The sequence below is a fragment of the Homo sapiens genome, chromosome 11, assembly GCF_000001405.40.
Source record: "Homo sapiens chromosome 11, GRCh38.p14 Primary Assembly".
Taxonomy (NCBI): domain Eukaryota; kingdom Metazoa; phylum Chordata; class Mammalia; order Primates; family Hominidae; genus Homo; species Homo sapiens.
In genome coordinates, this window is record NC_000011.10 from 97,656,248 (window position 1) to 97,680,419 (window position 24,172).

Sequence of the window (24,172 nt, forward strand, 5' to 3'; positions counted from 1 at the left end):
TTTTTATTATTTATATTTTAGTGAATACATACATAATATTAGGTGGGAAACAAATTTTTGAATTTAAAATATCATGTAATTTTTATACATTTTATGCTTGTTGCTAATTCTATCTCACTATTGGCCTCAAATCTCTCAGGGTATGCATTTTTACCTCTCTATTCTCTTATCAGTGTGCCTATATATAATAATTGGATACGTCTTAGGATATGTTGATGTTTCACACAATACAGCTGATGAATGATTCATTTCTTAAGAAGGAAGTCAAAGTTAATACATCTCATTGTAAAATGTATGTCACTCTAAGATACTCAATTTTGGTCACTTAGCCAAGGTAAACTTGGTGTTGCTTTATATTATTTACAGAGTTCAAATTCAATAAGAAATCTCATGTGATCCACGAGTAAGCACCAGTGAAATGATCTTACTATTATTTTTATCTTTTCTACAGAAACTAGCTTGATAATAGAAACATTCTAGGTATATACAGAGATAAAACAAAGTGCCCACGGGAACAACTCAGAAGCACACTTTTCTTACATTTCACTCTGTGGTACTGCTCTAGGATTTAGACATGACTGTGATCAGAACAATTATGTGTCAAGGATGTGTACTTTTACTATCTTATAGAATATTCTGTAGACTTTATACACACGTACTGTTTATAATAAAAAGCCAACCCAGAATTAATGCCAATATCAAATTGAACTATCAACCATAAAAGAAAAGTGAAAGTGTAACTTTAACAGTTATAATGACAAAAATCATAAGAGAAAATTTGCAATGTAACTTTTACAATCTAGAGACTTTCTTTCTTGGTATAAGAACCTCTAGAACTTTGCAATGGAGTTTCAGAAAAAGGCTTATTTTCTATTCATCCAGGACAAGGCATTCCAGAACAAAAACTAATTAAAAATGCTACACCAACACAATTTCTTCTCCATTCCTATTCATTTAGTGTTAACTGGAAATGAATAATTTCAATGCTAATAAACTATAATGATTTATTCCTATCAACTCTATCTTAATGTTGCTTTCAAAATTACTGATGATAAAATTTGCCCAAAATGACCTGTAATAAGAACCAATTATAATTGCCAGTTCATTATATTATGCATAACAGAGCATACCACATTTTTTACTGAAACAGAAAAGACAGAAAAATCTATTGTCTTTACTATTATTCATGAAAATTACCACTATGTAAATGATATCAGTCTACAGCCAAAACACATTGAATGTGCCCAATCTCATCTGATCTCAGAAACTAAGCAGGATTGGGCCTGATTAGTACTTGGATGAGAGACCACTTGTGAAGACTGGGTGCTGCAGGCTTTTTTTTTTTTTTTGAAAATAAAAAAAATTCAAAAATATCAATAGATGCCATCGTATAGTATAGATTTAATATGTCTTTACAGACTATTCAGATCTTTTCTGTCCTGTATAAACGGTAGGACCTCTTATCTATCCACTGTTCCTTTTTAATATATTATAACCAAATCTGTATTAGTTCATTTTCATGCTACTATGAAGAAATACTTGAGGCTGGGTAATCTATAAAGGAAAGAAATTTAACTGACTCAGTTCTGAAAGGCGGGGGAGGCTTCAGGAAACTTACAATTCATGTTGGGAGTGGAAGCAAACACATCCCTCTTCATATAGCAGCAGGAGAGAAAAGTGCAGTGTGAAGGCAGGGAAAGCCCCTCATAAAATCATCAGATCTCATGAGAACTTACTACCACAAGAAAAGCATGGGGAACTGCCCCCGTGATCTAATCACCTCCCACGAGGTCCCTCCCTCAACACATGTGGATTATAATTTGGATTACAATTCAAGGTGAGATTTGGATGGGGACATAGAACCAGACCATATCAAAATCCAAATGATTGGTGAAGTGGAAATATGACCATCAATTAAAAGTTGTATAGGCCAGGCGCGGTGGCTCATGCCTGTAATCGCAGCACTTTGGGAGGCTGAGGCGGGCGGATCACCTGAGGTTGGGAGTTTGAGAACAGCCTGACCAACATGGAGAAACCCTGTCTCTACTAAAAATACAAAAAAATTAGCCAGGTGTAATGGTGCATGCCTGTAATCCCAGCTACTCGGGAGGCTGAGGTAGGAGATTCACTTGAACCCGGGAGGCAGAGGTTGCAGTGAGCTGAGATAGCACCATGGCACTCCAGCCTGGGCAACAAGAGTGAAACTCCATCTCAAACAAACAAACAAAAAAAAGTTGTATAAATGTTTCCTTCAGATGGTTATTCTGAGATTAATGTGAGGTTATCATGCAGCTGTAATTTGTAACTAAGTGAAAAGGAGTAAGCTATATCCACATTTAAAAATTATCTAATTACAAAGTCCCTTCACATTTAATTATAGGAAGGAAAAAGAATAGAAGACTCATTATTATTGCTAAAAATTTATTTGATTAGTTGCTAGTTTACCAATAACATAAGACACATTCCACACATGATTTCTACTTGCATTTATGAAATCCATCTAATCAGCCCTACTTGTGACTGAATACATGCATTCTCTAACCAGTTATTATTTTTTGATGTTCTAGTTTTTTATTAAAAATTTACTTTATTGAAGTATGATTGCTATACAAATAACTGTATACCCGTCACCTCTAAAACCTCTCTCCTGTGTTCTTTATTATTATTACTGAGTGTGTGATAAGAACACTTAATATATGCTGGGGTGGTGGTTCATGCCTGTACTGCCAGCACTTTAGGAGCCTGGGTGGGAGGATGGATTGATGCCAGGAGTTTGAGACCAGCCTGGAAAACAAAGTGAGACTTCATCTCTATAAAAATATTAAAACATTAGCTGGGTGTATTGGTGGTCCCAGCTACTTGGAAGGCTGAGGTGGGAGGATCACTTAAGCCTGGGAGGTTGAGGCTGCAGTGAGTCATGATTTTGCCACTACTGCATTCCAGCCTGAGTGACAGAGCCAAACCCTGTCTTGAAAGAAAGAAAGAAAAGAAAGAAAGAAAAGAAAGAAAGAAAGAAAGAAAGAAAGAAAGAAAGAAAGAAAGAAAGAAAGAAAGAAAGAAAGGAAGGGAAAGAAAGAAAGGAGGGAGGGAAGGAGGGAGGGAGGGAAGGAGGGAGGGAGGGAGGGAGTATAAGATGTATCCCCTTAGCAAATGTTTAAATACACAGTATAGTTAACTATAGACATTATGCTCTACAGGAGATTGCTTGAATTCATTCATCTGTATAATTGACAATTTGTAACCATTAACGAATACTTCTCCCCCTCCTTCTTCCTCCTGAGCCCTGGCAACTGCCATTTTATTCTCTGCTTCTAAGAGTTTGACTATTTCAGACTTATTATATATATCATTGATATGGTTTGGCTGTGTCTCCACCCAAAGTCTCATCTTGAATTGTAATCTCCATAATCCCCACGTGTCAAAGGAGAGACCAGGTGGAGGTAATTGAATCATGGAGGAGGTTTCCTCCATGCTGTTCTCATAATAGTGATTAAGTTCTCATAAGATCTGATGGTTTTATAAGTGTTTGGTCATTGCTCCTGCATCATTTTCTCTCCTGCTACCTTGTTAAGAAAGTGACTTGTTTCCCCTTTGCTTTTCACCATGATTGTAAGTTTCCTGAGGCCTCCCTAGCCATGTGAAATTGTGAGTTGAACCTCTTACCTTTGTAAATTACCCAGTCTAGGGCAGTTCTTTATAGCAGTATGAAATTGGACTAATACAATCATGTAATATTTTTCCTTCTATATCTTCTTTCACTTAGCATAATAGCTCCAAGTTTCCTCTATGTTATCACAAATGATAGAATTTCATAATTTTTAAGGCTAAATTTTATATATATGATATGTATATTTATATATGTACCAAATTTTTAAATTCATGGACAGAAAGTTTGTTACAACATCTTGGCTACTGTGAGTAATGCTTCAGTGAACATAGGAATGCAGGTGTATCTTCGAGATTCTGACTTCAATTCCTTTGAATAAATATCTGAAGATATTTAGCAATATTTTTAGCATTGCTAAAGCATTTGGTATTTCTATTTTTAATTGTGAGAAAAATGTTTTTTTATAATGTTGTACAATTTACATTCTCAGTAACAGTATACTAGGGTTATCTTTTCTATACATCCTTGCTGACACATCTTTTATCTGTGAAAACAGCCATTCTAATAGGTAGTAAGGAGGTATCTTACTATGATTTTGATTTGCATTTAACTGATGATTAGTGATGTTGGGTACCTTTTTATAATTTTTGGCCATTTATATGACTTCTTGAGAGAAATGTCTATTAAGGATTTTGTCCACTCATGGGTACTAACAATTTTTTTATTAGACTTCTCACCATTTTCTATCTATGAGATCATGTTATGTGTAAGTAGTAATTGATAAAAGACATCATTGCATTATCTTGGCACCCTCGTCAAAGATCAGTTGTCATGGTTTATTTCTGTGCTCTCTATTCTGTTCCATTGGTCTATATGTCTGTTTTATCCAGCACCATACGGTTTTGACTACTATAGCTTTGCAACATGCTTTGAAATCAAGTAATGTGATGGCTCCATCTTTGTTCTGCTTGCTTAAAATTGCTTTGCTTATCAGGGGTCTTTAGTAGTATCAGATCAATTTAATTTATTTCAATCTTTATAAAAAATTCCATTGGGATTTTGATAGGGGTTGCATTAAATCTTTAGATTGCTTTTCGTAGTGTGTACATTTTAACAATATTAATTATTTTGATCCATGAACATGGGATGTCTTTACATTTATTTTGTTTGATTTAATTTTTTCATCAGTGTTTTATAGTTTTCAGTATACAATATAATTAAGCCTTTAGTTAAGTTTATTCCTAAGTGTGTTATTCTTTTTGATGCTATTGCAAATGACATTGTTTTATTAATTTCTGTCTCAATAACTCATTGTTAATATATAGAAATGCAACTGATTTTTGTGTGTTAATTTTGTATCCTGCAATTCTTACCTAATTCTTTTATTAGTTCTAACAGTGTTTCAAAGTGAATGTGTGTTTATGGTTTTCTACATATAAGATTATGTCAATCCTAGCACTTTGGGAGGCTGAGGCAGGCAGGTTGCCTGAGCTCAGGAGTTTGAGACCAGCCTGGGCAATATGGTGAAACCCCTGCCTCTACTAGAATACAAATATAGATAGATAGATAGATATTTATAGATATATAATATTATATATGTAATAAAAATATATATGCATTATATATAATGCATTATATATAATATATATAATTTTTATTATATATATTAAATATTATTTATATTATTTATATATAATAATATATAAATAAATAATATATATAATATATAATATATAAATTATAAATAATATTACATATAAATAAATATATTATTTATATATAATATAAAATATATTATATAAATATAATATATAAAATACAAATATATATGCATTATATATAATGCATTATATATAATATATAAATATATATAATATATAAATTTATATATAAAAATATATATAATATATAAATTTATATATAAAATATATAAATTTATATATAAAAATATATATAATATATAAATTTATATATAAAATATATATAATATATAAATTTGTATATATAAATATATACATTTATATATATAAATATATATTTATGTATATATAAATATATACATTAAAATATATATATAATGCATTATATATATATGCATTGGCCAGGCATGGTGGCATGTGCCTGTAGTCCCAGAAACTCAGGAGGCTGAGGCAGGAGAATCGCTTAAAGCCAGGAGGCAGAGGTTGCAGTGAGCGGAGATCATGCCACTGCACTCCAGCCTGGGCAACAGAGTGAGACTCCATCTCCAAAAAAAAAAAGAAAAAGAAATTTAAAAAAAGATTGTGTCATTTGCAAACAGATAATTTTACTTATTCCTTTTTGACTTGGCTATCTTTCAGTTTTTTGTCTTCCTCAATTGCTCCGACTAGTATTGAAACAGCCAGGTTGAATAGTAGTAGTGAGAGTAAGCATCCTTCTGTTGCTCTGAATCTTACAGAAAAAGCTTTCAATTTTTCACTAATTTATTCAGAGTTTTTTTTTGTCATGAAAGAATGTTGAATTTTGACAAAGACTTTTTCTACATCTATTAAGAAAATCATATTATTTGTATCCTTAATGACCTTAATGTATAGTATTACTTTGACTAATTTGTGTACGTTGTACCATACTTTTTTCAAAATTTAATGCATATGATTTATTTTAAGAAATCAAGGGTTTTTTGCCCAAATATAAGCTTAACAAGTGCAAATCCAAGAGCCTTTGAAATAAGGAAATTCGCATAAAGGCAGACAGTAAGACAGATACAAATAAAAGAAGAAATATATTAGCATTAGAGATATATTTCCAGATAATTGTCCTTTTGCTTGTTTTTTTGTTATAAAGTGACAGTTTGTATACATTTATGAGGTACAAAGCGATGTTATGATTAAGGAATACAATGTAGAATAAAATCAAGCTATTTAACATATCTATCACCTCAAATACTTAACATTATTGTGGTGGGAACATTAGCAATTTGCTCTTAGCAATTTTGAAATTTATAATACTCTATTATTAGCGATATTTACAATGCTGTGTAATAGAACTAAAAAAAAAACCCAAAAACATATTTTTCCCAATTTTCCTCATCCTGCAGACTCCATAACCACCATTCTACTCTCTGCTTCTATGGATTCAATTATTTAGATGCCACATATAATAGAGAATATGCAGTATTTTAATAAATAATGTTTCATAAAATATCCATAAATATTTAAGAAGTATTGGAACAAATTATTTTTAAAAATAAATTTGTATTAATAATAATCCATATTTTTAATAATTCCAATCTTTTAAATTTAAAGTAAAAAGTATAAATATATTCACAAGAAAAATCTAAAGATGTTTAATGACATTGTTGCAATAAGCAATTTCAAAAACAAAATCTTGCCCATGTTCTGAAATTAATTGTGCTATTGTAGTTGATACTAGCGTATAATACAATGTAGATAATACTATGTAAGAAAAATATGTCATTTATGTAAGAGTAATTTTTAAAATCCTTTCATTATTTCTACTCCATCTGGAACCAGCATACAAAATAAAAAGAAAAATATATTCCATTTTTTAATCTATGTGGATATCCTATTGATATAGCAATATTATTTGTAATGATCATTGTTTTTCCTGCTAAGGTCATGTTTAATGATCACGTAAATGTGTTTGATTCTAAACTATTTATTTCTATTAAACTATTTCTCTATTCTTCCACCAAAGAAACACTAAAAGTCCCTGCTTTAATAAAGCATATATTATAGTGGGCAAAATAAATAAAATAAACTGGATATTTTAAGAGAATAGTAAGTGTTATAAAGAAAATAATACAGGTCAAATGATAGAGAGCTGTAGGAATTGGGTACAGAAGGAGCTTTATTGAAAAGGCTGCATTAGAAAGTCTGAATACATGAAGAGGCAGTCCATAAAAATTGTGATGTGGTAGTATTCCAGAGGAAGTGAATAGCAAAATACCAGGGTTGATGCAGGAATAAGTCTGATTAGGTGGAGGCCAAAACCTGTAGAGCATTATTAGCCATGTTAAATACATTGGGTTCTATTTTTCATTTCAGGGGAAGATTTGGGAAAAATTTAAGTTTGGGGTGCGTAAAATTGTCTAAAACTTTTAAAGATTACTCTGTCACATAGAAAATTAACTATAGTAGATCAAGTGTAAAAATAGGGCAAGAAGTTTGGTGGTTATTCAGGTAGCCCAAATAATAAACACTGATGTAAATACTTAGATATTAGTACCAGAGGTGGTTAAATTCTGAAAACACTGAGAAATTAGAGATAAGGACAATCACTGATAAAATAGTGGGATAAAGGAAGAAATAAAGAAAGACTTACAGAAAATAACCCATAGAATGTAAATGAATACTGGTGCCGTTAGCTAAAAATGAGAAGACAGGAAAAGGTGTTTGGTTAGCAGGATTGGTACGGATCTTGAGTTCAAGCCTCAGTAATTCTTTGTTGGATTGTTTCTATTTCTTCTCTCCTAGTGTATAACACATTCTTACAAGTTTGCCAATGTATAATTTATATACATGTGGGTAAAATGTACCACTTGACAAGTTTTGAGATATATAAGTATAGATCTCCATCTTATATATTTATATTTTCATGAAAACATCACCAAAATTAATATAAAAATATACCCATTAGCTGCTCATTCTCATATCCATTTGTAATCTCTCACTCTTTTCCAGCCCTCTCTCATGCCCAAGAAACCAAGCACTGCTCTGCTTTCTGTCAAAATAAGGTTGAATTGTGTTTTCTGAAAACACGTATAAATAGAATCATACCATTTGTTCTCTTGGCTGACTGAATTTTTTCACTCAGAATAAATATTTTAACATACATCCATATTGTATAAAATCAACAAAATCAAATCAAATATATTTCTAATAGATAAAAGGCATTTCTTTGCAGGTATATACCACAATTGAAATATCAATTGAAATAAAAATAAATGTAAAGAGATTGAATGATGTAGTTAAATAAAGTTTGTGCTAAAACAATATTGAGACAGCCAAAGTATTTTCTGGACTCATATTTAATACTTAGGACAATGTTGGTGAAGAATAAAGTAGAGCTTGTCTTAATTACCAGAATTTTTTAGAAAAACATAGACTTACATGGAAATTTCTTAAAAGTCTATATTCAAAAACAAACAAACAAACAAACAACCCCCTGAAAACACAGTCTGTTTTTTATACAACACAGAGCTGATCAGAAATGGAAGATACACACATGGGAATATTTACCCTTAGAAGAAAATAATCATATACTAGTTAAGGAACAACATCTGCTCAGCTAGCTGCTGCTGATAAGTTGTGTCACCCAGGAGGGAAGGAAAACCTCAGGGAAAACAAGCAGCAGGGATGTGGTGCAAGTCAAATTAGCAAAGCAGTTCCTTTAGAATAACAAGGATTTGCAGCTTCCGAGTCTAAATAGTCTAGGGAAATTAAGGTGTTTTCCCTAAGGTGAAAAACAAAAATCTGGCTATATTTTACTGAGGACCATGGCTCAAATACCTTATTGAAACTCTGCATTATGAACCAATGATTGCTAGGACCCAGATTTTTTGGATATTCTTAGGAAAATTTTATGTTTCCTTCAACAGTCCTATTCCTCAAAATTAAAATTCACCATGCCAACTTGCATGCCTGAAATTAACAGTTAATTCTAAAATTAAATTTGTATCAGTACTTCTTTTATTTCCTTTGGGGTTATTAGAATTAAACATGCCAAAATCATGCCATTGCTTTCATACATTTGCTCCAAGGGATAAACGCAACTGTCTTTGCTTTCCAAAGACTCTAATTTAGTTGCCAATAAATAAGTACATCCATAAAATAATTTAAAATTTTTATTATGACCAGTGTACACATACATATAAAACTGAATGAGTGATTAGAGTAATAACATAAAAGTCACAATCTATTACTAACTGCATACTTTTCATAAAGCCAAAATTGTACTGAATTTCGTTTTCATTTGCATACTTTTCAAAAATAATTTTGCCACATGGCACAATGTTTTCATTTTTCAGAATTTCATGCTTCACAATTTTACAATTTTTTCAGTTTAGACGCAACTGACATCTTGATGATGAATTCAGCTATACAGCGTAAGTCACTATTGTTTGCATAATTGAATGTTAAGTAATTATTTTATTAATAAAATAATTTCAATGTGCTCATATGGAAACAACCTTTATATTACTAATTTAAGAGGCTTATTTTAAAAAACTAAATGCTTCTGTGTTAACTTGTTTACTTTCTTATTTCCTATTATTTCAACTCCCTATATTTCTGATTACCTTCTTTGAAACCTATACCCAAACTTTCAGGACTGCATATATATCTTTTCAATACATACATTATATATTTTACATATATATATGTAAAAGAAACATATTTGATTTTAGAACAGTCTGAAATATACTGAATCCCATATCTAATTTATTGCTTCTTTTTAGTGGAAAAGTGTCTTTTAATCATTTAGGAGAAGCAACATTCTTACAGCCAATCACAAACACACACACAAAAATCTTTTTTTCCTTCAGAAAATTGAAGTGCATTCAAGTGATGGTTGTTATACTTTTTAATTTGCTAAAGATAGGGATTTTATAAAATTCCATGTGTGCTTATTAACTATCGTCTTTTAGCTTCAAAGCCATCTTTCTATAAGTGATTTGTCATGCTGGGGCTGGGACTAGGAAATCACATTTTCCCTTGCCAGTTGCTCCCTGTTATATCCTCTCTGTGGTAGGTGGAGTGTGGGGGCGGTGTTAGGAAAGGAGCGTGTTGGGCTTGAGGAAGGAAAACAGGGCTCTTTCTTTTTGTTTGTTGTCTGTTCCTGAAAGCTTTACAGAGCAATAATTGACACAAAGGCAGTGGGTATCCGTTTTAGTAACCGTAACAACAATTTGTTACAATTTCCAGTTATTTTCTTTTTTTTTTCAGACTCCCTAAACCAGCCTCATTGTGTGCCCTTAAGATACCACATCAGCCAAGCTCTAACCACTCCTCAGAAATCCACGCTCAATTTCCAGTCGGTTTCTCCTCCAGCCTACTGAGAGGTGACAATGTGCTAGCAGCCCTTGCTTGCTCTCCTCACCTCCTTGGCCTCGGCGTCCACTCTAGCCATGCTTGAGGAGCCCTTCAGCCCACCACTGCACTGGGGGAGCCCCTCTCTGGGCTGGCCAAGGCCGGAGCTGGCTCCCTCTGCTTGTGGGGAGGTGGGGAGGGAGAGGCATGGGTGGGAGCCAGGGCCACGTGTGGCCTCGCAGGCCAGGGGGAGTTCCAGGTGGGCGCAGGCACGGTGGGCCCTCTGCACTCAGAGTGCCCAGCCAGTGCCACCAGCCCCGGGCAGTGAGGGGCTTAGCACCCGGGTCAGCAGCTGCGAAGGGTGGGCCGGGTACCCCAGCACTGCTGGCCGGCCCGTGCTGTGCTCGAATTCTTGCTGGGCCTCAGCCACCTCCCTGCGAGGCAGGGCTCGGGACCTGCAGCCCACCATGCCCGAACCACCCCCTGCCCCGTGGGCTCCCACGCGGCTGGAGCCTCCCGGACAGGCACCGCCCTCTGCTCCACAGCGCCTGGTCCCATCAACCACCCAAGGGCTGAGGAGTGCAGGCACATGGCGTGGGACTGGTGGGCAGCTCTGCCTGGGGCCCAGAACCTCGTGGGATCCACGAGGCGAAGCCAGCTGGGATCCTGAGTTGGGTGGGGTCGTGGAGAACTTTTATGTCTAACTACAGGATTGTAAATGCACCAGTCAGCACCCTGTGTCTAGCTCAAGGTTTGTAAACGCACCAATCAGTGCTCTGTGTCTAGCCAATCAAGTGGGGACTTGGAGAACTTTTGTGTCTAGCTAAAGGATTGTAAATGCACCAATCAGCACTCTGTGTCTAGCTCAAGGTTTGTAAACACACCAATCAGCACCCTGTCAAAATGGGCCAATCAGCTCCTTGTAAAATGGACCAATCAGCAGGATGTGGGTGAGGTCAGATAAGGGAATAAAAGAAGGCTGCCCAAGCCAGCCGCGGCAACCCATTTAGATCCCCTTCCACACTGTGGAAGCTTTGTTCTTTTGCTCTTTGCAATAAATTTTGCTGCTGCTCACTGTTTGGGTCTGCCCCGCCTTTATGAGCTGTAACACTCACCACGAAGGTCTGCAGCTTCACTCCTGAAGCCGGAGACCACGAACCCACCGGGAAGAACAAACAACTCCAGACTTGCCGCCTTTAAGAGCTGTAACACTCACCGTGAAGGTCTGCGGCTTCACTCCTGAAGCCAGAGAGACCACGAACCCACAAGAAGGAAGAAACTCTGGACACATCTAAAACATCTGAAGGAACAAACTCCAGACACACCATCTTTAAGAATTGTGACACTCACCACAAGGGTCCGCGGCTTTATTCTTGAAGTCAGGGAGACCAAGGACCCACCAATTCTGGACACACTACTAAGGTATTTGTCCAGCCAGTGCGGACCCATTCTTCGGAGACTGGGTCTCAGCTCTGCCCCAAGATTTTTTGTTTCCTCAGTTCTGGGGATGGCAATTGTTTTATAAGATTACCACCTCTGTGATACCTCAGTGCCCTAGTTTTGCCTGTTTAATGCATGTGAAGACAGTTTCTTATGTATTAAAATACCTGATGTGGTTTTTATTTTCTGGAGTAACCTTAAGTGAAACACCATGACTAAAGTCTCCTAAGAATGACCTTCATAAATTAAGATATTTTGTCTTTCACAGTAAACATGCTTCCGGTAAGTTTGCCTTTATTTTACTGTAGCCATCAATAAAAACATTATTGTGGTGGTTCCTGTTCAAATCCCAGTTTCTCTGTCCCTTTACATTATGAAATATATTAGATGAAAAATAACGAAGTTTTGTTTGTGGTTTTGGGACTGTATCATAGAAAGGATGATTTTCCCCCTTAATTCTTAAAACAGCACAATGCATAAAGATTATAAAATATTATAATCTGTATCTAAACACTGACTTAAGCTGACAGTATTTTAAATCCAGTATTTTGTTTTGAATCCCGTTATTTTAAACCAGATTTTAGAGTTTAGTTTCTTCAAGCCAAATAAAACAAAACACATTCTTATTCTCTCCACTCCTATGTATCTTGTGCATAAATCTATGGTGCATTTTAGACGGAGAGGATGTGCTGCTTTACATTCTTCCCACTCCATACATGTTAAACTAAAAGGCCCAGAAAGGATATCATTGAGTGAAAAGAAAATATTGAAAAGGCCAGAAACATCAGAATTTTTCTAATACTAGAATACATTAAAGGGAGAAAAGAAAAGAAATAAATTTAAAAAATAAATTTAAAGGGATGATACAAAACTTAAAAAGTGCTATTGTCTAAAAAATATGAGTGCATGAGTAATACATCTCAGTGCATCCTAAGGATATAGCAATATTGTCTGAAATAATAAGGGAATTCATATATCTTTTGGAATGTACACAAACACATACGAATATACATCTGTTTAACATTGTCTGAATAAGATGAATAATGGCATAGCCCATGACCCAGCTCTTCCACTCTTGGGGTTTGTTTTATCTTACAAAATTTCATGCCCTAATACCCATGTAAAACAGGCATGGAACAGCACTTAGGATAGCCTCAAAATGAAAACAACCCACATATTCATCAGCAGTGGAAGGGATAAATTGTGATGTATTAGTAGTATTAAATACTATTCAAGAAGCCACAAAAGAGAACATACAGTATAATTTTATTTATGTAAATTATCAAAACCTGATAAAACCAAACTACATTGTTTTACTCAAAAAAAAATGGAGTATACACAATCTTTTCCAAGTCAGAGAATTATAATTGTTCTTTACCATGTTTATGGGTGTTTTGTTTTGTTTGGAGATGGAGTCTCACTCTGTCACCAAGGCTGGAGTGCAATTGCACAATCTCGGCTCACCGCAACCTCTGCCTCCCGGGTTCAAGCGATTCTCCTGCCTCAGCTTCCAAAGTAGCTGGGACTACAGTTGTGTGCCACCACACCCAGCTGATTTTTGTATTTTTAGTAGAGACATGGTATCACTATGTTGGCCAGATTGGTCTGGAACTCCTGACCTCAAGTGATCTGCTGGCCTTGGCTTCCCAAACTGCTGGAATTACAGGCATGAGCCACCATGCCCCATCTACTTATGTTTTATATGCTATTTCACATATATGTTACTTTTCAAAATAGTAATTTATATAAAACTAATTTTATTTTTCAAACTTAATTGCAATATTCTAGAACATTTTTAATTTCAAGTTACTTTTTAAAGGCTTCTTTTCATTTTTGTTTTCATTTTTATTTTTCAACTTCATTGAGATAGTATTTATATACAACTAAATGCACACATTTTAACTTTACAGTTTCATGAGTGACGGCAACTACATACAACATTGTCAACTTGTAATTACTACCTCTACCTAGGAGTAGATAGTTCCATCACACCATATAGCGCTCTTTTGCCTTTTTGCAATTATGCCTACATACATGCACACACACAGTCCCAGGTAATCACTGATCTAGGTTCTGTCAACAGAGGTTAATAAAAATGGAGTCCTGCAGTACTACAGTACACATACTTTTATTCCTGGCTTCTTCAGCATGTTTTTGAGATCCATCTATGCTTTTAAGTGTATCAGTAGTTTATATTGCTGAGTAATTGATTATTTTATATAGGGCAAACGGATAAAACGTTTGTGATATATAGATTTTTGGGTTACTTTCAGCATGAATTGTTAACATTTGTGTAAAATTTCTTATTTCTCTTGGATATTACTTAGGAGTGGAATTGCTGAGTCACACAGAAAGTATAGATTTTTTTGAAAAAGAGTCACGCTATTTTCCAAAGTGATTTTATCATTGTACACTCTCATGAAAATGCATGCAGGTTCTAACAATGATACATACTGTGCAGTGCTTAGTATTTTTTTTATTATGGAGATGGAGTGTAAGGGTTTTTTTGTATCTACTGCACAAAGGCACTTTGTCATACATACGTGCAAATATTTTATCCCAATTAATGACTTTTTAAATTGTTTCAAAAGAGTTTTTAGAGTGTAAGTTTTTAATTTTCATCAAGTCCACTCTATCAATTTTTTATGTTGTGCCCTAATGATTTTTTGCTGAAACATGTCAGGAAGATTTTCTATTAACATTTTGTCAGATTATATATATATATATATATATATATATATATATATATATATATACACACACATATATACGTATATATATGTATATATAGTTTTTTTTCCCCACAGTATGAAGTCTCAAAGGCCACTGTAACCCCAATATTGCTAAGGTCAATAGGTCCAAATAAAATGGCCTAGAACATTAATTGGAACGGAGGTCACTATTCCTTTTTTTTTCTTTTTTTTTTTTTTTTTTGAGACGGAGTCTCGCTCTGTCTCCCAGGCTGGAGTGCAGTGGCGCAATCTCGGCTCACTGCAAGCTCCCCCTCCAGGGTTTACACCATTCTCCTGCCTCAGCCTCCCAAGTAGCTGGGACTATAGGCGCCCGCCACCTCGCCCGGCTGGTTTTTCGTATTTTTTAGTAGAGACGGGGTTTCACCGTGTTAGCCAGGATGGTCTCGATCTGCTGACCTGGTGATCCACCCGTCTTGGCCTCCCAAAGTGCTGGAATTACAGGCTTGAGCCACCGCGCCCGGCCCACTATTCCTTTATGAATACTATCTCAGAATTAGGAAGCCATGAGAATAAGTCATTTAAAGTTTTCGGTTTATAATTATTCATGTTATAATAATTACCATGTGTCCGGCAGTGTTCTATGTGCCTTACAAATATTTCTTATAAAATCCTGATAATCATTGTATAAGAAAGTGATTTACTAATTTTACAAAGGGGCAAAGTAAAGCCCATAAATCTTTCATAAAGTCATTGACTCATACATGGTGCCAGAATCCTAGAAGGCAGATTCCAGAGCATATTCTCTGAACCACTATACATGTTTTAACATACTTCCGGTAATGGAGTATTTTCCACAGTTTCTTTGTCAAGCGCATCTCTTCTTATTTAACTTAACATAGTTTAACATCCTACACCTTGGTTAGTCCTGAGTATGAATCCTATAAAATTAGGGCCCTGTTTATGGAAGACAATATTTTTTTCTGATTGATTTTTGTTTGTTGACTTTTTCCATTTTCCATTTAAGTAGGAATTCATTGTCATTCAACTTACCCATGAAAGTCAAATAAAAATTAATGATATTCTTCTAAACACAAAGGCTAAAATTTAGCAATAAGTCACAAAATAAAAAGAGAAAGAAAAAATCAATACAACATAACAAAAAAACCGAATCACAATAACACAATATGTTCTGACAATTCCTAATTGGCTTTTGTATAGGTAAAGAAAAGAAGGGGAATGTAATTAGTTCCATAAGGTTTTGTATTTATGTGGAAGTATAAGAATTTTTTCTTTTGTTCAATGTTCAAATGAAATGGCAGATGGTCCATTGGACTGCTTTTGAATTCACCAAATACAAATTATGTACAATGAAGTTTTTTCAGAGGTTGAGATTCTTCAAAAAGCAGATATGTGAGACTAAAATATAGATTATTACTGCTAATGTAAAACTATTTTAAACTTTGAACTGATGTTGCTTGAAAATACAGGATTACATTTCTCTTTTCCATAACAGTTGTCACAGACTCTATAGGCCATTTAATTAATCATAATCAAAATGATATGATTTTTCTTGGTAATATATGAAATATGATGTCATTTTAGAATTTTAGAATCCTTAGAAATTAAACAATTTGGTAACTTTCTTATGAGTTCTATATTAAATACATTAATTGTCTAATTCCAAATCACTACACAACAGCATGACACATGGGCAGATGAACTCGGGCAGTTTGAATAATAGTCACTCCGTTTAAACTTCATGTGTTGAGGTGGCTGAAACTTTATGGTTAGATTGGCTTAGTCTATCTTTCAAAGAATGAAATTGATGTGAGGCAGATTCCTATGAAAAAGCCATTTCGTTTTACCTGGCCTCCACCCCACACCCACTGTCAACCTCCAGTACTTCCCCAGCACCCTACCTTGAAAGGTAACCTTTATCTAAGGGATTACATCCGTAGATTATTATCTAAATTATAAAGATATTTCTAGGATTTGATTAATAAATGATTAATTTTAATGAGATAAAGTTGCTGCTACCTAACTAAATTCTTCAACAAGAGCTCACACACTCAAACTATTTTTCCTTAATCAAATTTACTGAGCCTATGGCTATTTCACTGTCATACACATACACACACACACACACACACACACACACACACACACGCAGCAACACATTTTTCACAATTTTTCAAAATTCCTATAATTGCCAGTGATTAAAGCTGCTAAAATAAAATACGTGACTAGAAAGCATCCTTTTTTTTAAGTAGTCTTCAAAATGTATTGGGTATTCCTTCTTAGTGAGACAACTGGTCATTCTGGGAGCATAGAATTTTACCTCAAGTATTCCTTCATTGTACTTAAAGCACTGAATAAAATTTAGATTTGTGTGTCATCATACTTCATTAATATATCAAATAGGATAGAAATTATTAAAATCAGTTGATGATTTATGGATAAATACATAAAGGGAATTTGATATTTCAACTAACTTTGGAGGAAGACTTAAAACCTGCACATTACCCTCCTGATAGGTCTAGAAATCTTAGATTTAAACTCTTGACTTTTTCTTGTTGTATAGATCACTACATCAAAACTAACATTGCTTATCATTTGAGCAGGTTTCCTGTGTTCAATTCCCAAACATAAATTTTTTTATTATCTTCTAGTAGTCAGAAGTGACACACGGCCAACTCAAAATAGTTTGGGGAAAAAAGGAACTGCATTGGCTGAAAGAATCGAAAGAGTGATTGAAAACCAACGGTAGGAAGTATGGTTATTCAACACAACTTCAGGAATAATTGAAAGCAGGTACCTACATCCAATAGAATAGGAAGATCTGTTTTCTATCTCCTTTTCTGTCCAAATTGGCTTTATTGTTTTGTTCTCTTTATGTGGACTGAGTTTCTCTACTAGGCAGAAAAGTTGGTTTCCTACAGTTCAGATCTTCTTCTCATATACATACATATATATGAAACACTTTCTCCACTAAAAGCGGATAATCATTGGTATCAGTTTGACAGTGCTGCAAGTCCTGGCAAAGAAACTCAGGCATAACATGAATTAGGTGCCCTGCCTGAAATTTGATATGGGTTGAAGGAATAAATAATAATACCAAAAATATATTTGATTCTCACAAAAAAATTATTACTTGTGAACTACCAGTATCTAAATTTTACAGATATTTAATCGATTTAGAAATATTAAATAACTTCCTCTAATCACAAACATCACCCTTAGTGGATTCAGGGTAACTCAACAGCAGTATTTGTGGAGATATTTGAAGGGCAAGGAATGTGATGTCTATTATCTCAGTAAAAGGGAAAGATTTTAGATAGACGTTAATATAAATGTTCATTAAGGTCGTTCCTAGAGCTCTGGAATATCTTGTGAATTTTTACACACCTGGACAATTAGATGGGGGAACAGAGGAGGTAAAAGGGGCAAACTCATTTTACACTTTAAAAAAAGAGGACACAAATTGAATTATCCAAATTGACCAACTATGCCATTTGCTTTATTGTAATAATTAAATAATTATTTATCTATAATATACCACAGTCCATAAAAAGATCACGTTGTTATTCAATATATGGATTAAAAAACTGAAATTTTCCTCCCAGGTGGAAAAAACAATCAAGGAAACTTAGGAGGCAATTTTTAGCATGCATATGCGTGCACACACACAAAATGAATTAAAAATTTATTCAGTTGGCCCAGGGCAGTGGCTCATGCCTGTAATCCCAGCACTTTGGGAGGCCGAGATGGGCAGATCACGAGGTCAGGAGTTTGAGACCAGCCTGGCCGACATGGTGAAACCCCATCTCTACTAATAATACAAAAATTAGCTGGGCATGGTGGCACATGCCTGTTATCCCAGCTACTCAGGAGGCTGAGGCAGGAGAATTGCTTGAACCTGGGAGGCGGCGGTTGCGGTGAGCCGAGATCGCACCATTGCACTCCACAGTGGGCAACAAGAGCGAAACTCCGTCTAAAAAAAAAGAAAAATTTACTCAGTTACATTAGCAAAGGCATGCCAGTTATGGATCAATAAAAATTGTAAGTTTTGTCTGCTCTCAGTCGCTTAATTAAGAAATTCAGGCAGTCAGATGGTTTGTAGAAAGAAGCTTAACTCTTCTGTCATATGAGAATGTGCTCTGAGACAAAAGCTAGTGCAAGGTGACTGTTAGGGAATGGCCGTCTCACAAGTTCAACACAGAAAAAGCATGGTAGCCACAGTTCAAATTCTATTTTGTGCTTGGATTTCAAGAGAGTGCATACAGTAGAGGAAGACTTCCTTAAGCCAAATATCATTTAATGACATTGAACCAAAGCAAAGAAAGTTAAAGGTATGGGTTTAACAGGAATATTTTATTATGATTTACTAAACATTAAAAAACTGATTGTAATGACAAAACAATTTTGTATTCTCATCCTTAGTGTTCATGACTTTTAGCTTGTTTTAAAAAATTGGTCTTTAATGTAATGTAAAAAAAGGCAAATTATTTGTTAGGTTGAAATTTGGTAGATACCAGTAGTTAAATTTTTCTCAATAATACAAGTTTTTTTTTATAATTTTATTATTTATTAGTAAAATTTAAAATAGGTTGTCATCTTTGTCCATTTTGTGCTGCTATTGCAAAATACTTGAGACTGGACAAAATTTTTTTTCTTTTTTTTTTTTTTCGAGACTGAGTTTCGCTCTTGTTGCCCAGGTTGGAGTGGAGTGGTGCGATCTCATCTGGGTAATGTTTAAAAAGCCCAAAATTTATTTCTCAGAGTTCTGGAGGCTAGGGAGTCCAAGATCAAGGTGATGGCATCTGGTTTAGCGACAGCCTTCATGCTGCATCCTAACATGGCAGAAGGTGGAAGGGCAAGTTAGCCAAATGCTCGCCAAAGCTTCTTTCACAAGGCCCTTAATCCCATGGGTGAGAGCCTATCCCTCCTGGCCTAATCACCTCTTAAAGGCATCACCTTTTAATACCATCACGTTGGCAGTACCTGGAGCTTTGAGGGGATAAATTCAGACCTTAGCATCTGCCTTCGGTATGCATTTTGTAACAACATTTTTTTCAATGCTCTTTTGAATTTCATTATTATTATTACAGGGAAGATCTGAAGATAACTGAAGGCAGAAGAGAGATTTTAATCTGTTCGTGGATCAGTAACAGGCTAGACCAAGATTCCTATGTAATGAGCCATGTGTTCATGTCACCGTTCCTTCTGTTTCCTTAAATAACAGAGAATCATTGAATTTAAAATGCACCATCTTACTGACATTTCTGTCTTTTGTCTATGTCTATCAGAAAATGTGTAATTGCACCTTGTGAGTTTGTGTGAAGGTTACAGTGGACTTCTGTATGAAGAGAAAATAACTTTAACAATAAGGTGTCCTGTACTGTATACTGTATTCTCTTTATATATATATATATATTACTCTCAAAGTCAACTGCATTTCATCTTAACACAAGCATACAGGTTTCAAATAAGGAATACATAATATGACTTCAAAGGAATTGCAGTAAGCCTAGCAGAATGTCAGATATATATGCATATAAGAAGCAGAAGATATAATTTTAAGAACTCGAGAAGAATAAAATTAATTCTATTCCAAATTGTTTTCTACTGCTTCTTTGGCATTTCCTTTCTTGGTATTTGAGATTTTATTTAAGAGTGTATTTTATGGTTATCAATACAAATGTCACTGTCTAATAATATCTTAGGAAAAAATGACACTTTTCATGTATATGGAACTTTATGTTTCACAAGACCTTTTTTCATGTATTACTTGTGTAAATTACCAAATTAACTTTTAAATACACTCTATTAAATTTATTTATAGGAAAAGGAACTAAATCTTATAATATTTAGCCACATTATTAAGTACTGTATTTTATAAGTTGCAGTGTCCCGAACAAATATTTGTTTGTCCTTGAAGTAAGAAGCCATGTGCTAAGATCTAAAGTGCAATGCTCATTAATATTAATATTGAATGCATAAATAAAGGAATAAGTGAAAGAGTCTGGGACAAGAAACCATCTCTTTTGACTTTAAAGGCAATGTTAACATTCACAAGTTATTTATTATATAATATTTTACTTTATCAGGCCACCTTTGGTATGATCACTGGACAAGATCATAGTCAACAGCTGGTATCTGAATAATCACATTGCAAATTTGAAGCTCCAGTGTTCTACAGAGTTTATTTGGGGGACAAATAGGACTGAAAAGAGTTATTTTGCTTATATAGCCTCAACATTGATTTCAGTTTCCTGTGACTTTTTATTTCACAAATAATCCAGAAAAGAAGTAATTTAAGAAACAGATTTATTTATTTTTTGTGGGGGATGGAGGTATAATAGGTTTATTAGTTTTAAGGAGTGGCAGGCAAGAAAACTAGTTTCTAGTTCGGTATATGATATTATAACTTCTGTGGGTACATAATAGGTATAGATATTTATGGGCTATATTAGGCATGCAATGCATAATAATCACATCATGAAAAATGGGGTATCCATCCTCTCAAGCATTTATCTTTTGTGTTACAAATAATTTAATTACACTCCTTAACTTATTTTAAAATGTACAGTTAAATTATTATTGAATATAGTTACCCAGTTGTGCTATCAAATATTAGGCCTTATTTACACATTATATATTTTTTGTACCCATTAACCATCCACATCCCCTCAACCCACCATCCACTACCTTTTCCAGCCTTTGTTAACCATCCTTCTACTCTTTATGTCCATGAGTTCAATTGTTTTGATTTGTAGATCCTACAAATAAATGATATGCAATGTTTTTCTTTCTGTGCCTGGTTTACTTCACTTAACATAATGAATGACCTCCAGTTCCATCCATGCTATTGCAAAAGTGTGAATCTCATTTATTTAGTGGCTGGAAAGCACTTTATTTTGTGCAAGTACCACATTTTCTTTATCCATTCAGCTGTTGATGGACACTTCGGTTGCTTCCAAATCTTGGCTATTGTGAGCAGAACTGCAAAAAACATGGCAGTGCAGATATCTTAAATATACTGATTTCATTTCTTTTGAGTATATACCCAGCAGTGAGATTGCTGGATCATATGGAAGCTCTATTTTTAGTTTTTTGAGAAACCTCCAAACTATTTTCCATAGTGGTTGTACTAATTCACATTCCCAACAAAATATATGAGGTTTCCTTTTCTTCACATCCTTGCCAGCATTTGTTATTGCCTGTCATTTGGATAAAAGCCATTTTAACTGGCGTAAGATGATATCTCCCAGTAGTTTTGATTTGCATTTCTCTGATGATCAGTGATGTTGCGCACCTTTTCATATGCCTGTTTGCCATTTTATGTCTTATTTTGAGAAATGCGTATTCAGATTTTTTGCTCTTTTTTTGACTGGGTTATGACCCTTCTTTTCCTGTAGAGTTCTTTGAGTTCCTTACACATTCTGGTTATTAATCTCTTGTCTGATGGGTAGTTTGCAAATATTTTCTCCCATTCAATGGGTTCTCTCTTCACTTTGTCGATGGTATATTTTGCTGTGCAGAAGCTTGTTAACTTGATGAGATCCCATTTCTCCATTATTGTTTTGGTTGCCTGTACTTGTGCGGTGTTACTCAAGAAATTTTTGCCCAGACCAATGTCCTGGAAAATGTTTCCAATGTCTTCTTGTAGTAGTTTCATAGTTTGATGTCTTAGATTAATGTCTTTAATCCATTCTAATTTGAATTTTATATCTGGTGAGATATAGGGGTCTAGTTTAATTCTTCTGTACATGGATATACAGTTTTCCTAGCACCATTTATTGAAGAGAATGTCTTCCCCAGTGTCTTTTCTTGGCACCTTTGTTGAAACTGAGTTCATCACAGGTGTGTGGACTTGTTTTGGGGTTCTCTATTCTATTCTATTGATCTGTGTGTCTGTTTTTATGCCACTACCTTGCTGTTTTGTTTATTATAGCTCTGTAGTATAATCTGAAGTCAGGTAAAGTGATTCCTCCAGATTTATTCTTTTTGCTTGGGACAGCTTTGGCTATTGTTGGTCTTTTGTGATTCCATATAAATTTTAGGGTTTTTTCTATTTATGTGAAAAATGTCATTGGTTTTTACATAGGGATTGCATTGAATCTGTAGATTGCTTTGCATAGTATAGACATTTAGCAATATTGATTTTTCCAACCCATGAACATGGAATATTTTTTCCATAGATATTTAATTCATTTGTGGCTATTATAAATGGAATTACACTTAAATTTCTTTTTAGATTTTTCACTATTGGTATATAAATGCTCCTATTTTTTTCTATATATATTTTGTACCCTGCAAAATATACTCAATTGGTTTATCAGTTCTAATAGTTTTTTGATGGAGTCTCTAGGTTTTTCCAAATATAAGATCATACAATCTGGAACAAAAATGATAATTTTACTTTTTTATTTCCAGTTTTAACAGGTGATAACAATATATGTCTTATAACCTATTATTTTATGCTGAGAACAACAACATTGTTTGCATAAACAAACAAGTAACAAGGAAACTAACAAAGACTATGCCTTAAATTTATTCCCCTGCTTTTTAACTTTTTGTTCTTAATTTCTCCTGTCTAATTGCTCTAGCTAAGACTTCCAGTACTACGTTGTATAACAGTGGTGAAAGCAGGCATCCCTGTCATGTTCCAGATCTTAGAGGAAAGGCATTCACGTTTTCCTCATTCAGTATGATACTGGCTGTGGGTCTGTTATATATGGCTTTCATTATTTTGAAATATGTTCCTTCTACCCCCAGTTTTCAGGGCTTTTATCAAGAAGCGATGTTGAATTTTATCAAATGGTTTCTCAGCATCAATTTAAATGATCATATGATTTTTATCCTTCATTCTGTTGATATGATGGGTCACATTGATTAATTGGCATATTTTGCACCATGCTAACATTCCTGGGATAAATCTCACTTGGTCATAATGAATGATCTTTTTAATGTATTGTTGTATTTGATTTATAAGTATTTTGTTGAGGACTTTTGCATCTATGTTCATCAGAGATATTAGCCTATAGTTTTCTTTTTTTAAGGTGTCTTTCTCTGGTTTTGGTGACAGGGTAAAACTGGCCTCATAGAATGAGTATGGAAATATTCCTTCTTCCTCTATTTTTCAGAATAGTTTCAGAATGGCAGGATTGAGTAGGAAGAACTAAACCAAACATTTAGTTCTTCTTTAAATGTTTGGTAGAATTGAGCTGTGAAGCCATCAGGTCCTAGGCTTTTCTTTACTTTGAGACTTTTTATTAAGGCTTTGATCTCATCACTTGTTATTGGTCTCTTCAGGTTTTGGATTTTTTTGTGGTTTAATCTTGGTAGGTTGTATGAATTTGTCCATTTCTCCTAAATTTTCTAATTTATTAACATATAGTTGC

The 24,172-nt window shown here is 34.3% G+C and overlaps 1 long non-coding RNA gene and 1 pseudogene across 1 annotated transcript; both read left to right on the forward strand.

Annotated features, from left to right (window-relative positions):
- Positions 1,217-1,335, forward strand: RNA5SP347 (RNA, 5S ribosomal pseudogene 347; annotated as a pseudogene).
- LOC105369452 (uncharacterized) lies at positions 12,016-20,400 on the forward strand. Its single transcript, XR_947941.2, has 3 exons — positions 12,016-12,357; positions 17,438-17,579; positions 19,877-20,400. It is a non-coding gene; the product is annotated as an uncharacterized LOC105369452 (long non-coding RNA).
- Positions 20,401-24,172: the final 3,772 nt, after the last annotated feature.